The sequence below is a fragment of the Homo sapiens genome, chromosome 1 (assembly GCF_000001405.40).
Source record: "Homo sapiens chromosome 1, GRCh38.p14 Primary Assembly".
NCBI classification, from domain to species: Eukaryota; Metazoa; Chordata; class Mammalia; order Primates; family Hominidae; genus Homo; species Homo sapiens.
This window is the reverse complement of record NC_000001.11, coordinates 177,349,550-177,368,357: the sequence shown is the minus strand read 5'-3', so window position 1 is coordinate 177,368,357 and position 18,808 is coordinate 177,349,550. Positions and strand designations below refer to the sequence as shown.

The 18,808-nt window shown below is 40.5% G+C and overlaps 1 long non-coding RNA gene across 1 annotated transcript; it reads right to left on the bottom strand.

Moving 5' to 3' along the window:
• Positions 1-1,899: 1,899 nt before the first annotated feature.
• Positions 1,900-16,772, bottom strand: LINC01645 (long intergenic non-protein coding RNA 1645). The gene is made up of 4 exons (NR_126001.1): positions 16,708-16,772; positions 11,293-11,511; positions 4,817-4,919; positions 1,900-2,189 (listed from the first exon to the last, which is right to left on the bottom strand). It is a non-coding gene; the product is annotated as a long intergenic non-protein coding RNA 1645 (long non-coding RNA).
• Positions 16,773-18,808: the final 2,036 nt, after the last annotated feature.

Here is an 18,808-nt window from a genome sequence, read left to right as displayed (position 1 = left end):
CCTCCAGCAGCTATTCAGTAGAAGTAGCACTAGCCAGGCATCTGATACATGGCTCCACTCCTGGCTGTTGGAACTTAAGAAAAATAAGTTTGCTACAACCCTAGCTTATTTATCTTAAGAAGAGGCTGTTCCAGCCTTAAATGGTCTATGATTTAAAATAGTACTTTGGTGAGAACTGTATGTGTTGGGTAACATAAATTAATGATATATTAATTATACTGTTGATGGCAATGAGGACTGAGATTTGTACACTGCTTTACACTTTGCAGAGTATTTTTGCATGTATTGTTTAATTTGATCTTCACCCAAACCACTGAGATAAATATAAGCATTTCATCCATATTTTATAAATGAGGAAACAGAGACTTCGAGCCTTATCCTAAGGCTACAGGGAAGTAAGCGGCAGAGCCAAGACTCAAACCCTCCAAAATCTTGACCTTCTCTAATATGTGGGGACTTAAAGGTCTCCCTTATTTATCATCAGCTGTGAATTCTTGCTGCATGGAGGACTGCATTAGATGTTATCATTATGCTATTATGATTGTCTCAGGTCACTTCTTTATTCTTTGATGCACTTGTTAATCACACATTTGCTGATCAACTACTATGTGCTAGGCACTGGGAATACAGCAATGAATAGAGCATGGTTCCTACTCAGAAGGACCCAATCTAGTGAAGGAAGCTACAATGGGAAAGTAAATAAATATTTACAACACAGCATGCTAAGCATCCTATCTCTGAAGCACGAATGAAGAAATGCTGTGAAATGGTATATGTCTAGCACTATTTTAGAGCTTTGTATACTCTATTTTAGAGTATATGGTATTTATGGTCTTTGTCTAGCTCTATTTTATTTGGGGATAGCACCATCTCATTACATTCACAGATAAAACCTTTGACAAATGGTTTAAGATCCCTCTCCTTGGTCAAGGCTCCTCTGACTTCAGGTCACCATACCCTGTTGTTCTTAGAACCCTAACACACTCTCTCCTGTCACCATCTATGGTGTATTAATTTTGTTCATTCATTGTTTACTATATGTTTTCAGTACTTCTTTAGAGAGCATTATGGTAGATACACAGTAGTTTTATCAGGTGAGTACCATAGGTAATATTTATTATTCTTTCATAGCACTAGATCTGAACATGGTAGTCAATCAATAAACATTCGTTTGATTGATTGAGGTCCCCAGATTAAGAATCCACATGGTTGAGAGGTATCAAAATAAATCTCCTAAAAGTACTTCCATTAAACCAAGAAGGTGAATTCAAGAGCAGCTACAATGCTTCCCTAGAGTGTTTCAATTTGATAAGTGTAATCCACAAGCCCACCCTTGATCCCCCTCCATCCATAGTGTCAGGGGCTGCAACAAGCACATTCAGATTATGCAAGCTCCCTGTTGTTGAGGAGAAAGGAAGACTTTGACTCTTTAATGTCATTTTGTGAAAAAGATCTTGATCCAGCAGGGAAGATGTTAAGAACAAATAAAAAGAATTTATTGTTGGTATTTTTACCTGCATCCTGTTTCTGGCTGTTCTGCTGTCTTCTGAAGGGCCTTGGCACATATACTGCTTCTAAGTGCCAGTTTTCCCATCTGTAAAATAATCCCTGTCCTTGATCCTCAACTCACAGGGGTGTTTGGAAGCCTAGGCAGGTGATGTCTGTGCTGTGAGTGCAGGTTTCTGGACAAAAGGCATTGTATAAATACAGGATCTCATTTCTATTTATAGTGTACACAGCAGTTCAGAGGTGTTTAATGCCCTGTCCCCTTTCCTTGTATCTGTTCACCCCAAAGTCTCACCTCTGCCTATACCCAGAAGTAGAACCGTTCTGGTCTATCTGTAGTCAGATTAATTGAACAGGACTCTTTGAAATCCCAAGTAGTTTACGCAGCCTGTCTGTCTTTCAGGGCTCTTGCAAGCTCTTCTCTTTATTGAGAAAGGGAAAAAAGACATCAGTTGGGATGGCAGCTCCTTGATTCCTTTATCAGGTCAGCTTTTTCCTGAAGGGTCTCCTTGCCCCTCAAGGCATCTCCTCATCTGAAACTCACTTCACACTGTGATGGCTGGATGCAGGGATGCTCTTGTTCTGTTGCCTTGGTAACAACTTCTGTTTGTTGATAACGAAGTTTACTGTGTATTTGTCATTGTTTTCCCTCTGCCTCATGGTAAAAGAGGGGTGAATAAACTCTGTGGATTAGGCAAAATGAAGGGAGCCATCTGGTGAGTGAAGGAAGAGGAAAGAGGAAGAACAGAAAACCTCTAGAAAGGCCCCTGTTGGGTCTTTGGGGGCTACGGAGTAGTTATGCATTTCACAAAAGCTATTAAAACCAGGAATTACTTTATCTGGAAGAACTTAAAGGCAGGTAAATAAAGACCTTGACATGACAGACCAATTCCTACGAGAATCATAAGAACAGGGGACTCCAGAGAAAGTGCTGAAAATCTCTTCAGGGTAGACTGGATAACCACATTTCATATGTTTTCCTCATCCTCAATGAACTTAGGTGTTATGGATCCACTGACATTTACTAATGGCCTACTCAGAGCAAGGCTCTATGATTAACAGTACAATTTGGCAAAAACCTTCCTTAGTGTCCACATATCACATGCATCCTTAAAGCACAAGTATATTCAAATGGTTTTACTTAACATTAGCTTAGTATATATCCTTATTTTTATTTTTCTTAATTTGGAAGACTTGGCATAGTTGCGTCAAAAAAGACAACTTCTAGACTTGTGATTTGGAGAAAGAAGAACATTCTGATCCATTTCAACTGCTAAGCTTTGAAACCTGCATATGTAAGTTACTGTTAATTCTTTGTGTTGTCACCAAGTACAACTCTTACATTACAACAAGAGCAAGGTGGGTTGAGTGGGGATAATTTAGTTTGAATGTCAACTACAGGTATAAAAAATGTACATTTACAGCTTTTTCATCCTTTTATTTATGCATTTATCACATAATTATTGGATTCTGAGTATTTGTCTAGTGTACGAGGCACTAGGGGAATAGTAGTGAAGAAAACAATAGAACATCTCTGCCTTTATAGATGCTGTAATCTCTTCCAGTCCTATAATCAATGTTGATGCTCACATATGTGCTTCTGGTGTTAGCAGAAATTTGTTGTAGGATATAGAGTTGCCACCCCCAAAGTTTACCATAAAATTACACAACTTCAGAGGAGAGTCTTCAGATACCATTATCTCCAACCTCGCATTTAAAGCAAAAATTTGTTTCAAGCATCCCTTGAGGTGCTTACCACCTTCCACCTATTCCTTCATCTCTCACTTCTTATCTAGCAGTGACTCTACTTAAAGAATATTCTCCAAATCTATCTGCCCACATCTGTTATCTGTCTCAGTCTAATAGTCTCCTAGCTGGTCTCTCTGCTTCCATTCTTCTCCTCCTTCAAAATCCATTCTCTACACAGCTGACAGAGTGATCTTTTAAAAATGCAAATCAGATAATGTCTTCTCTTCTTAAAACCCTCTGAAGGTTCTCGGCTGCACTTAGATTAAAATTTTAACTTTCCAGCCTCCCCATAAGCCCGTGACCTGCTTAGGTCTTCACCCACCTCTCTGACCTCGCTTGCCTGCCATCCCGGCTCAGCACTCATTACTACCTGGGGCATAATTGCATGACTGATTATTTCTGTGACTGCCCCCAACCACCACACACACACAAACACACACACACACACACACACACACACACACGAAAACACACTAAAAACTAAGCTCTTTGCAGCCATTGCTTTGTCTGATTTATTTCTACTTATTAAAAAAAAATGTCTTGCAGAGTAGGGCATTCATAATTATGTGTTAAAATTTTTAAAATGTAGCATTTTTAATGCCTCTTTTAATGACAAGAACTATCTGTATTATAAGGTCCCCAATGTATATATTAAGAGTTTATTTAGTTTTTTCATACATTGTGCAAAATTTTCTTTCTACTTACATGAAATTAACCCATTTCCTATCTATGTAAGCTCTTTAAATGTTGCATGGAGCTTCTATGCCTTACTACATTTTTTGTTTTCCATGCGAAACACTAACAGTTGCTTTAACCATTTGACCTGTGGAGATTTTCAAATCCTTTTCTCTTTTGTTTCCTTTTCTCTTGAAAACTACCAGTTTGCCTAGTTTCCTCTTAAAATGTAGGGATTGGTTTAGTTATATATCACAGCTATCTAGGGAAGACAAGATGAGTCAATTAACAGGAAACATTTGGCTGGTGAAAAAGAAACTTGATCCAATGTTATAAAATGTCTATTGATCACTTATATGAAACTAGTTTAGTGTCTGACCAATTAAACCTAATTGAAGTCTCTGCTCTGCCAAGCCAAGTACACCTTCTATTGGATTTTAAGCAATGAACTGATGTGCATATAGTGGAAGGAACTGCAACCAATCCTCTGTTCTTAACTGCTCTGAATACATGCTGGTGCTCAATAAATATGGTATCAAAATAATTATAATAAAATTATGTGAAATCCAAGATGTGGTAACTAATGAAGAAGTATTGGAACTGTCAGTGGCATCTTGAGCCCCAAAGGGAAAAATAATAACCTGACAATATAAGTGAAATATGAGATCAACCAATTAATTAGCAGAATAATTTAATCTGATGCTCTGAAAATAAGCCAATTAAAATTCACTGTTACTATTTAACATTGATTAAGCAAGGTGCTAGATCCGGAACACAGTTTGAAAATAAACCTATTCCTACCTTCAGGGAACTTAAAGCTAATTTAAGCAGCTGTATATGAAAGGACAAAGGAATAGGAGGTATGGTGTTGATTTGATTTACTTACTGGAGCTCCTTCCTCTGGGGAAGGAGCAGCGGAGGGCTGTCATCACCACTGCACTCTTCCAACCTTCTCTTCTGCTCATTCACCAGTTCCATCCTCATCTGACCTACACTGGAGATAGCAGAGGTAAAGTTAGGACAGAGAAATTATTTAAAAACACAAAAACAAAACAAGCTTTCCAGAAAATGTGAAATCTTCCACACTTGTGCTAGTTAGTGGAAAAGAGGAACCCAGATATAATTAGTGCTTCTGATAATTCATTAGGAATAATTTATGAGCTACTAATGAAACAACAATAACAATAAATATGAAAACAACTGAAACCATCTTGCCTTCCAGCTTACTTAAGGGAATGCATGTACCCACTCAAATTTAATGATACAAGAATAAACCACAAAGTAGCCCATTAACTACTCATTTAACTTTAATGAATTTTGATCTGTGAAATAAGTAATAATAGTCTAAATGCATTTATAATCTGCAAAATGTTCTTTAACTTATCGTAAGCCTTCTCCTTGTGAAATACTTGAGTATTATGGTCTCGCCTCTGAGACCTCTGTTCACAGTGTTGGCTGAACAACATTTTGGTGTCATAACACTGTCCCTGAAAAGAGAATTCCCTATTCTTTCCATCTTACTAGACGGAAAACAGGAGAGGAACCTCCTTTTTTTTCTTTTCAGAACTGCATGTATACTGTTTGGACACTGAATTGCCTTTCTAGGAGTTCCAATAGATTGTGTTGAGGTATTTATCCTGTTCTTTTCTCCTTGGCAAGCATTTGCATTCCTATGTAAGATGTTGGGGACAACTAATTCTGGCTGTACACTAAACAAAGCTGTCTGTCTCAAAAGAGACTCACCCAAGATGTAGGACTGACAACCATCACACTTTCATTAGAGCATTCATCAATGTAATAGGCCAAAATGGATGCTAGTTTGCCAAAATGTGTTGTAGGCTGTGCAAACACACTAAATTATTGTGCTTTAGGACAAAAGAGCTCTGGATTCATCTACTAAAGCTATTACCAACCCACAGAACAACATTTACCAACATCTATATTCCACTTACCTGTTCATGACTCTGAGTTAAGAAGTACAAGTTTGCCTAAACCAATCACACTGCCCATAGCTTGAGCAGATTTCTTAATATGTATTTCCATGAAAACAGAATGGTAACAATAATGAAAGCTATGAGTAATTGAGCTCTTACCAAAGTTTACTAAAGCTAAGTGCTCTCCATGCATTATTTCATTAAATCCTCACAACTTACGAGGTAGACATTACCATTAATTCCCATTTTATAGAGATAAAGAAATTGAAGCCTAAAAGTTAAGTAACATGGTAATTATCAGAGAAAAATGCGTAAGCCCAAGCCTGTCTCCTTTCTGGGAACCTGTGTGATTTATTCTTCTTTGGAAATAATGTGCTAGGGTATAAAGGCCATAATCATTGCTTGAACATACATGTTTTTGACAACATACATATCATTGATCTGACAACACATCAGTATGCTTAGCCCTTGTGTCCACTGACTTGATCTCTCCTTAAATCTTTATATGCATTGTACATGATTATTCTAACAATTTTACAACAAATTTCTGAACCTGAGGGCGCTAACATCTCCATGGTGATCACTCTTCCTCCACTGTGTCCATGGTCACATTTGCACTATGTGATAACATCTAGTTAATTGAGCTAACTTATATTATTTTTCTCATCAGCCTAGTCTAAAATTAGCCATTTGAACCTCCACCTCTGCTCAGAAAGAAGAAATAGAAAAGAAAATTGAGGTTTTTTTTTTTGATAGTTGCTATGTATCACTTTCTTTGTCTTGAGACTTAAAAAAATAAAGTTTGAAACTGTAGCAGATTAAGAACTCTGGACCAAATCTATTTTTCCTCCTCAGTTTTCTACTCTTCCTTGAAATTTCTTGGGGTCTCCTATTTATTTAGTGTTGCAAAGTCTGGTTTAAAGTCTGGCTGCCCTAAGTAACCTATACAAAAGCCCTTCTCTACTTTAGTTCCCCAATCCAGTGACCAAGGGCCACACAGCTGTAGGAAAGCTTTTGTTTGATTTTTACGTGGCACTCATGATTTTATATTTCTTCCCACTCAGAAGGGAAAGGTCTAGGGGACAAATGACATGGAACATCAAAGTAATTATCTGAGTGTTTGGGGCTAGTGAGCTCACAGTGTACATAGGTGACAGTGAGGAAGTGATTTTACCTAACCTGACCCAGACCCCTTTCTCTAGAATGACCCTGGTTCCTTTGTCATTCTAACTGGGGGTGTTCTGAGGGCTGGGGAGATGACATGATCCATCAGAGTTATACAACGAGTTAGCCACAAGGCTGAGATCAGAAACCTGTTCTAACTTCTGCCTCATCCACCTTTTTGGCCTTCTCACCATACTCTTTATCTGAGCTAAATTCAAGAAATCCGGACTGTGAAAAATAATGACTCTGATGCTATCTTTCCCTCAACTGAACCTAAGAGAAAAGTCCTCAATGATCAAACATACCGGGCACACCCTTACCACCATGCAGGTAGCCAGATAACCAGGGAATGCTACTGGGGCACAGGAAGGGTGAAGGTAAGTCATCATTCTGATTGACAAACAGACACTCCTCCCTGGTCTGGTGAGTTTTATAGACAGAGTGAGGCAGAGCACCAAGGTAATTACTTCAATTATGCAAATCAATGACCCAAATAGGAACTTTCTTTTGTACAGAGTCCCAGCATTCACAAGCCTGGTCAGCTGCTCAAATGACCAAATTTTACCTGGTTTCATTAACATGTAATCCTTAAAATGCATGTTCACCCAACTAATGTAATAGCTTGGTCTCTGCAGATGGAATTCTTCCCAAATGTGTAAGTGGCTCTTAGTAGTTTAAAAAGTTTTAAAGGCACAGTAAGTACTTTATACATAGTCTGTTGACCGTTAATAGTTTTACAAAATGGAAGTCAGCAGAGAGGACCATTCAAGTGCAGATGGCACAATTACTGACTGCCAACCTGACTCTCCCTTCTGCAGGATTGCTGCCCCTTTGCCAACCCCACTGTGGTTTGAGGAAGCTGACATATATTATTGATTCTTTGGTGCAGTATTAGGAAAGGGAGATATTCCAAGCCACATCTTTACATCCAGAACAATGCATGAGGTTGAGATACTGCCTGATTATTAAAAAAAAATTGAAGCTCGCCTTATATTTGCTCCTCAAATTGATAATTGGGTTCTGATTTTATTTTTACCTCTTCACTTAGTTTCTTGTAATATTCACCCACCTACCCCAATGGCTTCTTCTTTTCCTAAATGCAATTTCATGATGAAAATTTGAAAATAATGTGAGAGCAGTTGTTTGTCAGGGAAGGCAGTTGCCTCTGCCTCTTTCTTCTTAGAGATATGTTAATAAAACACTATTGAATGTTTTTGTTTTAAATACCCAGAGAGAAAGATGCATATGTAAGGAAATTGATATGTCAGATATGTAATATACAATTATTATACTATGTTTTTAATCAAATGTATATAGTTTAAATTTATATACATTGTATACATAAGGCATATTATATTTAAATATACAATACAGTATGAGGAAAACCCAACAATATATTTTAGAAAATTGAATGCTCACTTTAAAAAAGCCTATCATTTTTGTACCTATGGAATACTTCAGAAAGTTAATTTTCTCTACAAACTGTAGTAATTGTAACAAGAATATCCTAATATGACTCAGATGCTCACGAACAACTTCCATATATTGAAAATTGGTTCTTAAACAGGATTTTAGGCTGTCATTTTCATAAGTGAGATTATATTTTGTGCACATAGTTCTGTTTTTAATAAATTTTAAATATGAAATTAATATAAAAACTCCATTGAAATTTTTTAAGGGCAAAGGTGCTACTTCTCTTCTTCTGATTGCTTCACTCCATAAAATCTTCTGAACACTTCATCTAGGCATTGCGTCTTCCAGCAGCCATATTACTGTTACTCTGTTAATGTATTTTATGAAGACAACAATACTAAGTATATGGATTTGCTATAGGCTGGAAGTTGCCATCTAGGAACAACTAACTGAACGGCAAGTCATATCTTGTTTCTGAAAACATCGTAAATGCTGTTAAAGCATTATTTCTGAGTTTGTCTGTGAGGGTGTTTCTGGAGGAGACTGGCATTTGAGTCAATGAACTGAGTAAGAAAGATCCACCCTTACCCAACCTGGCAGGCACCGTCCAATTAGCTGAGGGCCCAGATAGAACAGAAAGGCAGAGGAGAGATGAATTATCTCTTTCTCTTCTGGAACTAAGACACCCTTCTTCTCCTATCTTTGGACATCAGAACTCCAGGTTCTATGGCCTTTGGACTCTGCAATTTATATGAGTGGTGCCCCCAGTTCTCATGCATTCAGCTTTGGACTGAGAGTTACACTGTCTTCTCATCTGGTTCTCAGGCCTTCGGACTTGGACTGAGCCATCCTACTGGCTTCCCTGGGTCGCCAGCTTGCAGATGGTCTGTGTGAGACTTCTCAGCCTCCATAATCTTGTACGTTATTTCCCCTAATAACTAACTAACTTCCTTCCTTGTTTCTCCCCTTCATTTCCTCCTTTCTTATCTTTCCCTTCCTCCTTCCCTTACCTCCTTCTTCCCTTCCTTCTTTTTTCCTTTCTTATCTTCTCTTCCCTTCCTTCCTTTCTTCCTTCCTTCCTCCTTTTCCCCCTTTCTCTCTTCCCTCCTTCCCACCTTCCTCATTTATCTTTCTCTCCCTCCCTCCCCCACTCTCTTTCTTTCTCTCTCTTTCTCTTTCTTTCCTTTTCTTTCTATTGATTTTTTTTCACTGGAGAACCTTGACTAATACAGAGCCCTTGGAATAATTTTATTTTCTTCCTGACTCCCAGATTGCCCTTTCTCAGCATGATATTTTACTTCTACCCACATGAAATTAGATGTTGCCCTCAAGAGTCTGTCTATGTCTCCTTCTTTTCTTTTTCCTTATGTTCTTCCTAGTAATCTTAAGCTCACTCAAGGCTATTTACTATTATCTTATGTAGAGCTTTATCCTTCTCAATCTTCAGGGCCAAACTTTCTCTAAATTCATTTTTTTTTTTTTATTTCCATGATGGGCATCTTCATGCATACCAAACTAAGCATATCAGTTTTTCCAGAAAAGTTTGCCACTGTTCAATGTTCTTTATTCAGGTTACTATCAGAAGATTTTCCTAGACATTTAGATTTAAAACTTGTGAGTCATCCTTGACTTTTTCCCCCTCAGCCTGGCACATCTAATCATTCGGTGGTCTCTCAGCTAACTCTCTGTTTTCTTTCACTCCCTTCTTATCCACCCAACTAAACATTCATTCTCTTCTCATCTAGGTTATTAAAATGGTCTCCTAACCATCCTCTCTGCCTTCATTCCCACCAACATAGACTACACACTTAAATTGCAAAATACCCATTTCTGATCATATCTGTCATTGACTAAGGTTGTTAAGGACACACATAATCTAGCAACTAAGGATCACAATGCTCAGGTTATATTTGAAGCCTCTCCTACTTACCTTTCCAATATCAAATCAAATATCCACTTTTATTTACCCTTTACCCCATTAAGCAGACTCATTTGCTGCTTTCCCTAGACATGTAGAATTTTTCTGTCTCTTTTTTGATTAGAAAGCCCTTTTTCTGCACAATGAAACATGACCTCTCCTTTAGGATCCAATCAGAAGTCAGCCGCCTTCACACAGCCTCCCCTTGTGTTGTGCTTTTTTGTCATTTCTCTTATTCCCTCCCCAACCTCATGTATTACTGAAGAGTAATTCTCTCTCTTCTGAATTTACACTTAATTTTTTAATTAACCAACTTCTCTGTGTTTTTCCGTTTATAATCCCATGGCATTTTACCCATAGCTCTTAGGGCAATTATGCACTTTGCATTGATTCTGGAGATGTTCCTCCATAAATATCTGGTGGATGAATGAATGCAGCCTTTATAGATTTTTTTTCCTCTAACAAGTCTGATTTCACAGACTCTAAGTCAATTGAAAAAATATTATACGTGAAGTGAATTTATGTATGCTTGCAACAAGTTATTTTAAAGGATAATTTGAAAGGGTGCTTATTTCTGGTGTGGGATTGCAATTCTTAATATAACTATAAAAAGAAAAAAATAAGCTAGTGATGGGATGGTTTTGTGATATTCTCTTACAGAATATTTTAGTCAAAATTTTGTATAATAAGGCAGAGAGTGAGCTCAGCACAATTCATAGCAACAGCATCAATAATTTAATAAGCACTATTCACTGAGAACCAAATATGTGCCAGAAACTGTTCCATATAATATGTACATATTATTTCTATTTTTACATTTTACAGATTTGCAAATTGAGGCTTAAAGGGATTAACTTTAATTCTCTAACTACTCAAGCTTAACATTTAAAATCCATACTTAAGTCTTATTTTTCTGGATCAGAATCTACTCACCATATTACTCCAGGAACTTCCCTTTTCCCTTGTAAATTCTGTTCCATTTTTGGCCAAACCATGGTTTGCCTCTGCTGCATTAGTTTGAAGTCATTTTTTTTCCAGACATTGTGGCGGTAGTTCCCAGATGTCCGAAAAGATGAAGTTATCAGTGCACGAGCAGCCAGGGCTTTTCTTTATGTTGATTCACCTTAGGACACAGCCCAACAATGCCTGCAACTGAAAGTCATGTGCATTAGCACAGCTCTGCCTCAACCATGAGCCCAGGACACAGAGCTGTGCACCAAGCATGATTCTTTCTGTTAATATTAATTGGCATAATTTAGCTTAACATATTAAATCTTAGAAGTGTAGTAATCGTCAAACAAAAATGTCTACAGTGACCTATTAGAACGGAAACTTCCACCATAAGAGCCACTCTTCGGAGCTTTGCAAGTTCACTGTTATATAAGCTTACTTGAGGGAGTTCCCTATGGGTAATGTAGTGAGAATAAAGAACTTGGGGTTCAAATCGTGACTCTACTGCTTAGGAGCTATGTGGCTTCTAGGTGTCTGTTTCCCTGTTTCTGTAATAGGTGGGCAGAGGGGTAAGGAAGGAGATAACATCTATTTTTTAAAATGGTATGAGGACTGTAGGAAACATATGGACCTGGTACAGATGAAATGTCCCCAAAATGGTAGTTATTACTGTTATTACTCTCACAGGAAATTCCTATCCCTTAGCAGAAGAAAGCATTCTGTATTAGTTTCCTGTGGCTTCTGTAACAAATTATAATAAACCAGGTGGCTTAAAACAACAGTTAGCTCTTGCAAAGTTTTGGGGGCCAGAAGTCTGAAATCAACCTGTTGGCAGGATTGTGCCTCCTCTGGAGGCCCTGAGGGGAAATCTATTATTTTCCTCTTCCACCTTCTGGTGGCTGCTGACTTGCTTGACTTATGCCCACATCACTGCAATCTCTGCATCCAGGGGCACATTACCTCCTCCTCTTCTGTCTGTGCTCTTCCTCTTATAAGGACACCACTCACTTAGGACCTGCTCATTTAACTCAGAATGACGTCCTCATCTCGACATCTTTAACTTAATTACCTCGGCAAAGACTCTTTTTCCAAATAAACTAGCATTCACAGGTTCTGGGATTAGGATGTGAACATGTTTGTGGGAATGTGAACAACTCAACTCACTACAGGTCCTGAAGGATTAAGTTTTTTGTTGACTTTTTGGGGGCAGGTGTACATGTGTGGTACACAGGATGCTGAGTGGAATAATGCAGTGATGTTATTGACGACCAGGGGGCAGCATACGAGGCCAAAACAGATTCTGAGAGTGGGGAGTAAGGCTGAGGAAACCAGAGAAACAAGCTGAAACAATAGGAGATGCAGGAGGCCTGGGTTTGGGGAGACCTAGGCTCTAGATGTGGTCTTTGCCCCAATTCACAGTGCAACAGAGGGCAAGACATCTCTATGGGCCTGTTTCCCCATATACAAAATGAGAAAGATTGGAGTGGAGCAGGGATTTTAAATTGACTGCTTGCAGGCTGAATGCAACGTGCCTGTGTATATCAATTGTAACATCTAAAAATCTGAATATTTTTAAGTTGGCAGACATCATATAAAAATTAGTATAGCTTCTCTCAAAAATCATATGTAACAGGCACTGGACACGCAGTCTCCAATGCTGATGATGCGTTGTAGGAGGGTGACCCTACCCTTCAGCTTGGCACAGACCCCCTTGTGTACTACCTAGCCCACCACACCCCATTGTCTTCTGACATTGTGGTTGACTGCCAGTCCCTTTTGTCATCCCCTCACACTGCAGATTCCCTGATGGTCAAGACATATTTTTCTGTATCCAGGTTTCTATCAATAGTGAGATCCAGGTGGATGATTTTTCCTATACCTAGTTGGGTTCACTCAACTTACATAACCTGCATGAGGCCTCTAGAGTTTTGCCTTTGTGATCCCAAGTCAGAAGACTGAGACCACTGGTCCTCTCTGGGATGCCAATGACCTCAGTGCCAGAAGGGAAGGTCGGGGAGCCGGGGTGGTGCTAGAGACTAGCTTGATCTATGTCTGCAAATAACTCTCCGTGTGCCCACCCAGGTATGTGAATCCACCAGCTGTGTGAATCTACCTGTCTTAGGACTACTTCACAATTCATAGGACAATGTTCTGGCAACTCTTATTGCTCCTTTCCCCAATTTTCTCCATTCTCAGACTTCTTTCCCTCATCTCTCTGTACACATCCGTGGGACTCCTGCTACAGGATCTTTTACCCTTCAGTTCCTGCCATTGAGTCCCCATCCTGTGGTTTGTTTTCATTTTTTTGGTAGCAGTTCCTCCTTCATCCTAGACTTTCCTGCTCTCTCCTACATGATTCATGACTTAGTTCTGCAGAGCATTTTTAGAGCCTTGTTTGCAACGGAAGAGAACTAGGGAAACTAAGCAGCATATTGTCTTCAATCTGGTCCCTCTCATAAGGGATCTAAGCTAATTCTTACGATTGTAATCCTGCAGTAATGGACCATCTGAGAAGACAGTCTCTCTCTCAGTGGGAGCCTCCTATGACTTAGGAAAGAGTCATGTGCCCAGGTGTTGCCAGGGCTGAGCTTGCCTGCCCACTCTTCACAGAAGCTGCCCTGATCTCAAGGTCTCCTTGTTACTTGTGCTTACTCAGAGTCCCTGTCTGACACAGAAGAGTGATGCCATCTCGTCTCCCCACCTTCCCAACAATTTTTAAACCTCTGGGTGCTGCTACCAGCTTGCCTGGAAGGTGGGGTTCTAATAATGACAATTAGCTAAATATGCAAAGAAAAGAGAAGGGCAAGGTCTCTCCCAAGCAGGAGCCGCCCTGCTTTTATTTTTATTTCTCTCTGTGTGTGTGTGTGTGTGTGTGTGTGTGTGTGTGTGTGTGTGTTTCTAAACTTCCCAACAGCTACTAAGCTAAGAAAGTTTTAAATATATACAAAAACTACAGAAAGGCTTTCTCTCCTTTGAATCTTTAGCTCTGTGTAGTTCAAGTCAACAAACAGCTAGTGGTGTCTCCTTGGTGCCTTGGCTATGCTTGTGTTCAGTTTTGAAGCAACAAAATGTGGAGATAATGCTAGCTTTATAGTAAGGGTACACATGATCAGCAGGGAAACAAGCACAACTCGAAAAGGCAGAGCAGAAGGAACAGTTTGGTACGTACAGAGGAAGGTGGATTGAGAGGCAGGAAAGGATGATTGAGGCAAAAAATGATATTATTCCTGGTTCATTTTGGAGATGATGACAATCCCAAGGCTTCTGCAGACTCCAAGGACAGGAAATACTTCTTAAAGACTCACGTGGTTCCCTCAACAGTGTGTGCGCATTTCAAATTGCGTCCTATTATACCTCCCATTTTTCTCCATTCTGCGTATGAATGGATGGTGCCACTGTTAACCCAGTTGCTCAAGCTGGAGGTGCAGATTCCTCCTAATCCCCACTGGCTTCTTCTCTCCTTTGCCTTTTTTAATCACCGGATCAGTCGCTTCTGCTTTCTCAGTGTTGACTCCATGCCCACTTCTCCCCCTCCCCTGCCCTTCTAGGTCTATTGCAGGGCTTTCCTAACTCATTTCAGCCTCTAGTCTCTTCCTGTCCCATTTCTCCTTTATTCTACCACAACTCCCAATTTGATCATGTTACTAATAGGCTTGAAATATTAAAAACAAATCTTCCAAGGCTCCTATGAAACAAAATTCCCAATCCCTAGCTGACATTCAGCCCTGATATTTTGGTGTCTTCTCTTCTCCCCTTTGATCTATACACAAAACGTCCTGCACACTAGATTGTGCAGCTCCTTGCTGATGCTATACTGTTTCCACATCAGCGCCCTCACACCCCCGTGCCCTTTCCCAGACTTCCCCTTACTTCACTCTTGCACCTGCAAGCTCTGTTTGTGCCAGGAAAGTTCAAGTTGTCCTGAAAGTACCGGCTTACTGTGACATCTTTCCTAGGTTGCTGTCTCCTTGGCTCAATGCAAAGCACACCCCTCCCCTTCCCACATCACTCTCCGAAGACCTCATAGACCTCTGCTGGCTCTTTATCACCTGTACTCCCATCATTTGCATGCAGTTCTGATCCTACCACCAACAAGGGAATTGAAGAAAGGGCCCAGATCTCATTTATTTTCTTCTCTCTAGCCCTTAGCAGAATGTCTAGAGCATATTAGATTTTCATTAAATACACTCATTCACTGAACAAATATTTCTAAATCATCTATTCTGTATCAGGCAGTATTTAAGGCCCTAGAGATGTAGCAGTGAAACACCATGGGGGACAATTATCTGCCCTCATGGAGCATACACGGTGGTATGGGAGCCAGGGAGTAAACCAGATAAATAGTAAAAACATACTGTGTTACCCAGTGATGAGTGCCAAGGAGAAAACCCAAGCCCACCTAGAGGAGGGATGTGAAGAAATACGTGCTGAGTAAATGAGCTGTTCCTTCTCCTGGGGAATTTTATAAAATTTCAGGACAAGGGAATGGAGGGATACACTTGGGATGAATAAATTTGAGAGAAGCATGAGATCTAGATAGTACTCATTAATGTTTGAAAAATCTGGTATTGACCCTCCAGTGAGAGAGATTCAGAAGAACCTATGGTCTGTGAGCAATAGAATGAGCAAATGTTTATCTAAAATAAATGATTTTGCAAACTGCCTGCAATATCAAAATCTTGCAGCTTCTACCTGAATATTAGCATCTAGATCTGTGCATTTCTTTCCCTTGACGGGACTGAAGGCTTTTTTTTTTTTCCTGTGTTGCTCTCTCACATGAACACCTGGGTGCTCCTCATTGCAGATGCCTTGCCCTGCCTCCTGCCCTCCCCAGTAATCTGTGGTAAAGGTGGAAAGGTAATTCAGGCAACCTGGCCACTGTCACGATTCCTCCTAGCACCACACACACACACACACACTCTGTCACACACACAACACTCACACCCACACAATGCACACACACTTATTCACTCACACTACGCTCACACAATACACAAACTCACACAGCACTCACAATACTCATTTACTCAAACACACACACAACACTCACACATATTCATTCACACAACACACACATAGCACATACACAATTCACACACATTCACACACAACACTCACACTCACATAGCACACACAATGCACACTTATTCACTCACATAACACTCACATTCACTCACAGCACACACACAACACTCTCATTCACACAACACCCACACACACACTCACACACCACTCATGTACACACTTTCACACACACCCTTATACACACAACACTCACACTTCCTTACACACTCTCCTACATGCATGCTCACTTGTTCACACACATACACACACAGACACACCCTTTCACAAACACACTAAAATCCCAGCAGCAGAGGCTCCACTCTCCTTTCTTACTTGTCATTAGCCCGTGAAGAGGTTCGCTTAGGCTGCCACAGCACAGAGTCCCAGCTGCGCCGTTTCTCCCCACAGGCACTTTGGAATGTGGTAACTTAAGGCCTGTTGCTGGGTCACAGGTCAGTTTTAAGGAAGTAACCTCCGAGCTGTTTCTGCTTACTTTGCTGTCCAAGAACTCTAGGTTTCCTCATTCCAGTGTCTGTGGGGGTGACTGCTAGGGGCTGAATTGTGTTTCCCCTGCCTGCCTCAAAAAAAAAAAAAAAAAAAAAGTCACACACTGAAGTCCTAACCCTCTACCACAGAATGTTACTGTATTCGGAGACACAGTCTGTAAAGAGGTGATTAAGGCAAAATGAAGTCATATGGAAGAGCCCCAGTCCAATATGGCTGGGTCCTTATAAAAAGAGGAGTTTAAGATATAAACAACACACAGACAGAGGGCCGACCTATGAGGACGCGGGAAGAGGGCAGCCCTCTGCAAGCCAAGGAGAGACCTTACCAGACACCAACCCTTCTGGCACCTTGATCTTGGACTTCCAGCCTTCAGAATGGTGAGAAGATAAATTTCTGTTGTTTCCCTACTTTGTTAGTGAGCCTAATACAGCTGACTAACACAGTGACATTGTCCTTTCTCATCTGTGGCCACCTGCCCTTAGTGCACTGACCTCCTCTTTCACAGTGGATGTGAGAGGCAGGCTGGATGCAGCCTCCTTCCCAGGAAAACAAATCTCACATTATAGAACTCCCACGACTTGTGATGTGTGAGGCAGCTCTCCAGCGCAACCCCATGAAGGCTTTGGAGCAAGCCTCTGTTCTCTGACACAGGTGTGGCTCTATTCTCCTTGAGTGGAACACCCATTTCCAGATACCCCTTCATGTCCTCACCCTGCCCAGCAGGGAGGAAGCAGCCCTCCAGGAAGGCAAGAACTTCTTTGATCTGACCAAGTGGCCCTGCCTGGTATTTTCCAAAGAAACTCGCTTCATTAGACATGTTATTGACCAGTCAAGGAAGAAATTAAATTACTCCAAATCAGAAACTGAATTAATTAAAACAATTATTACTCTCACCTGCAGGACCAAAATGGGGTTGTTAAGATTGTGTTTTCCCCGCCTCTAAGAGAAAAATCTTCTTTGCTTTCCATTTTGAGACTCAATAAGTAGAAAAATAGCAGCACACTTCTGAAAAGGGCTAGAAAATGAAAAAAGAATGATAATTCATTATTCAGTAATCAACTCCGATTGCAAAAGCAGCAGATTCTGCTGAGAACATAGGGCTGTGGAGAAAGACAAACCCAGACCCTGCCCAGCTCGCACCCTCTGGGGCAAATCCTCTCCACAGAGACCTTATTAAGAGGAGAAAGTTGGGGAACCAGCATGGGGTACCACAATTTGCAGCCTCTCTACCTTTGTACAGCACATTAACATGCAGAGTCATTGTTTTATGGGCCTTGCACCCCTCCTCTCCAAACCCCACTCTCAGATTAAGATGTATTGTATAATCATCTGCCTTAAGGTTCCAGAACGCATCCCTCTCCACTGGGGCCTCTGAATAGAGAAGCAGATAAAGTCTCTGCAAGAGAACAAACCTGTGGAGCAGCTTCTATTTGTCAGTCAGTCCTTGCTCTGTGCTTTCATGGTAGGCAGAATTCTAAGATGGTCTGCAAGATTCCCACCTCCTGGGGCACACACACCTTCTCCCAATTATCCAGGCAAATACTAATCTAGGTGCTGCCATGAAGGAATTTTGCAAATGTAATCACCTGCCAAATCAGTTGACTTTAAGGAGAATATCCTGGCTGAGCCTGACCTAATCAGGTGAGCCCTTAAATGAGACTGGGTTCTTCCTGAAGTGTGAGAGGGATTTGACCCCAGAGACATTCTCCATTGCTGGCTTTGGAGATGGAAGATCCATTGGATGAGAGATATGGGTGACTTCTAGGGGCTGATAGCAGCCCCCAGCTGTAGCTGACAAGGAAACAGAGACCTTGGCTCTGCAACCACAAAGAACTGAATTCTGCTACAATCACATGAGCTAGGAAGAAGACCTTGAGCTCCAGATGAGGAAGCAGCCTGACCAATACCTTGATTTTAGCCTTGGGTG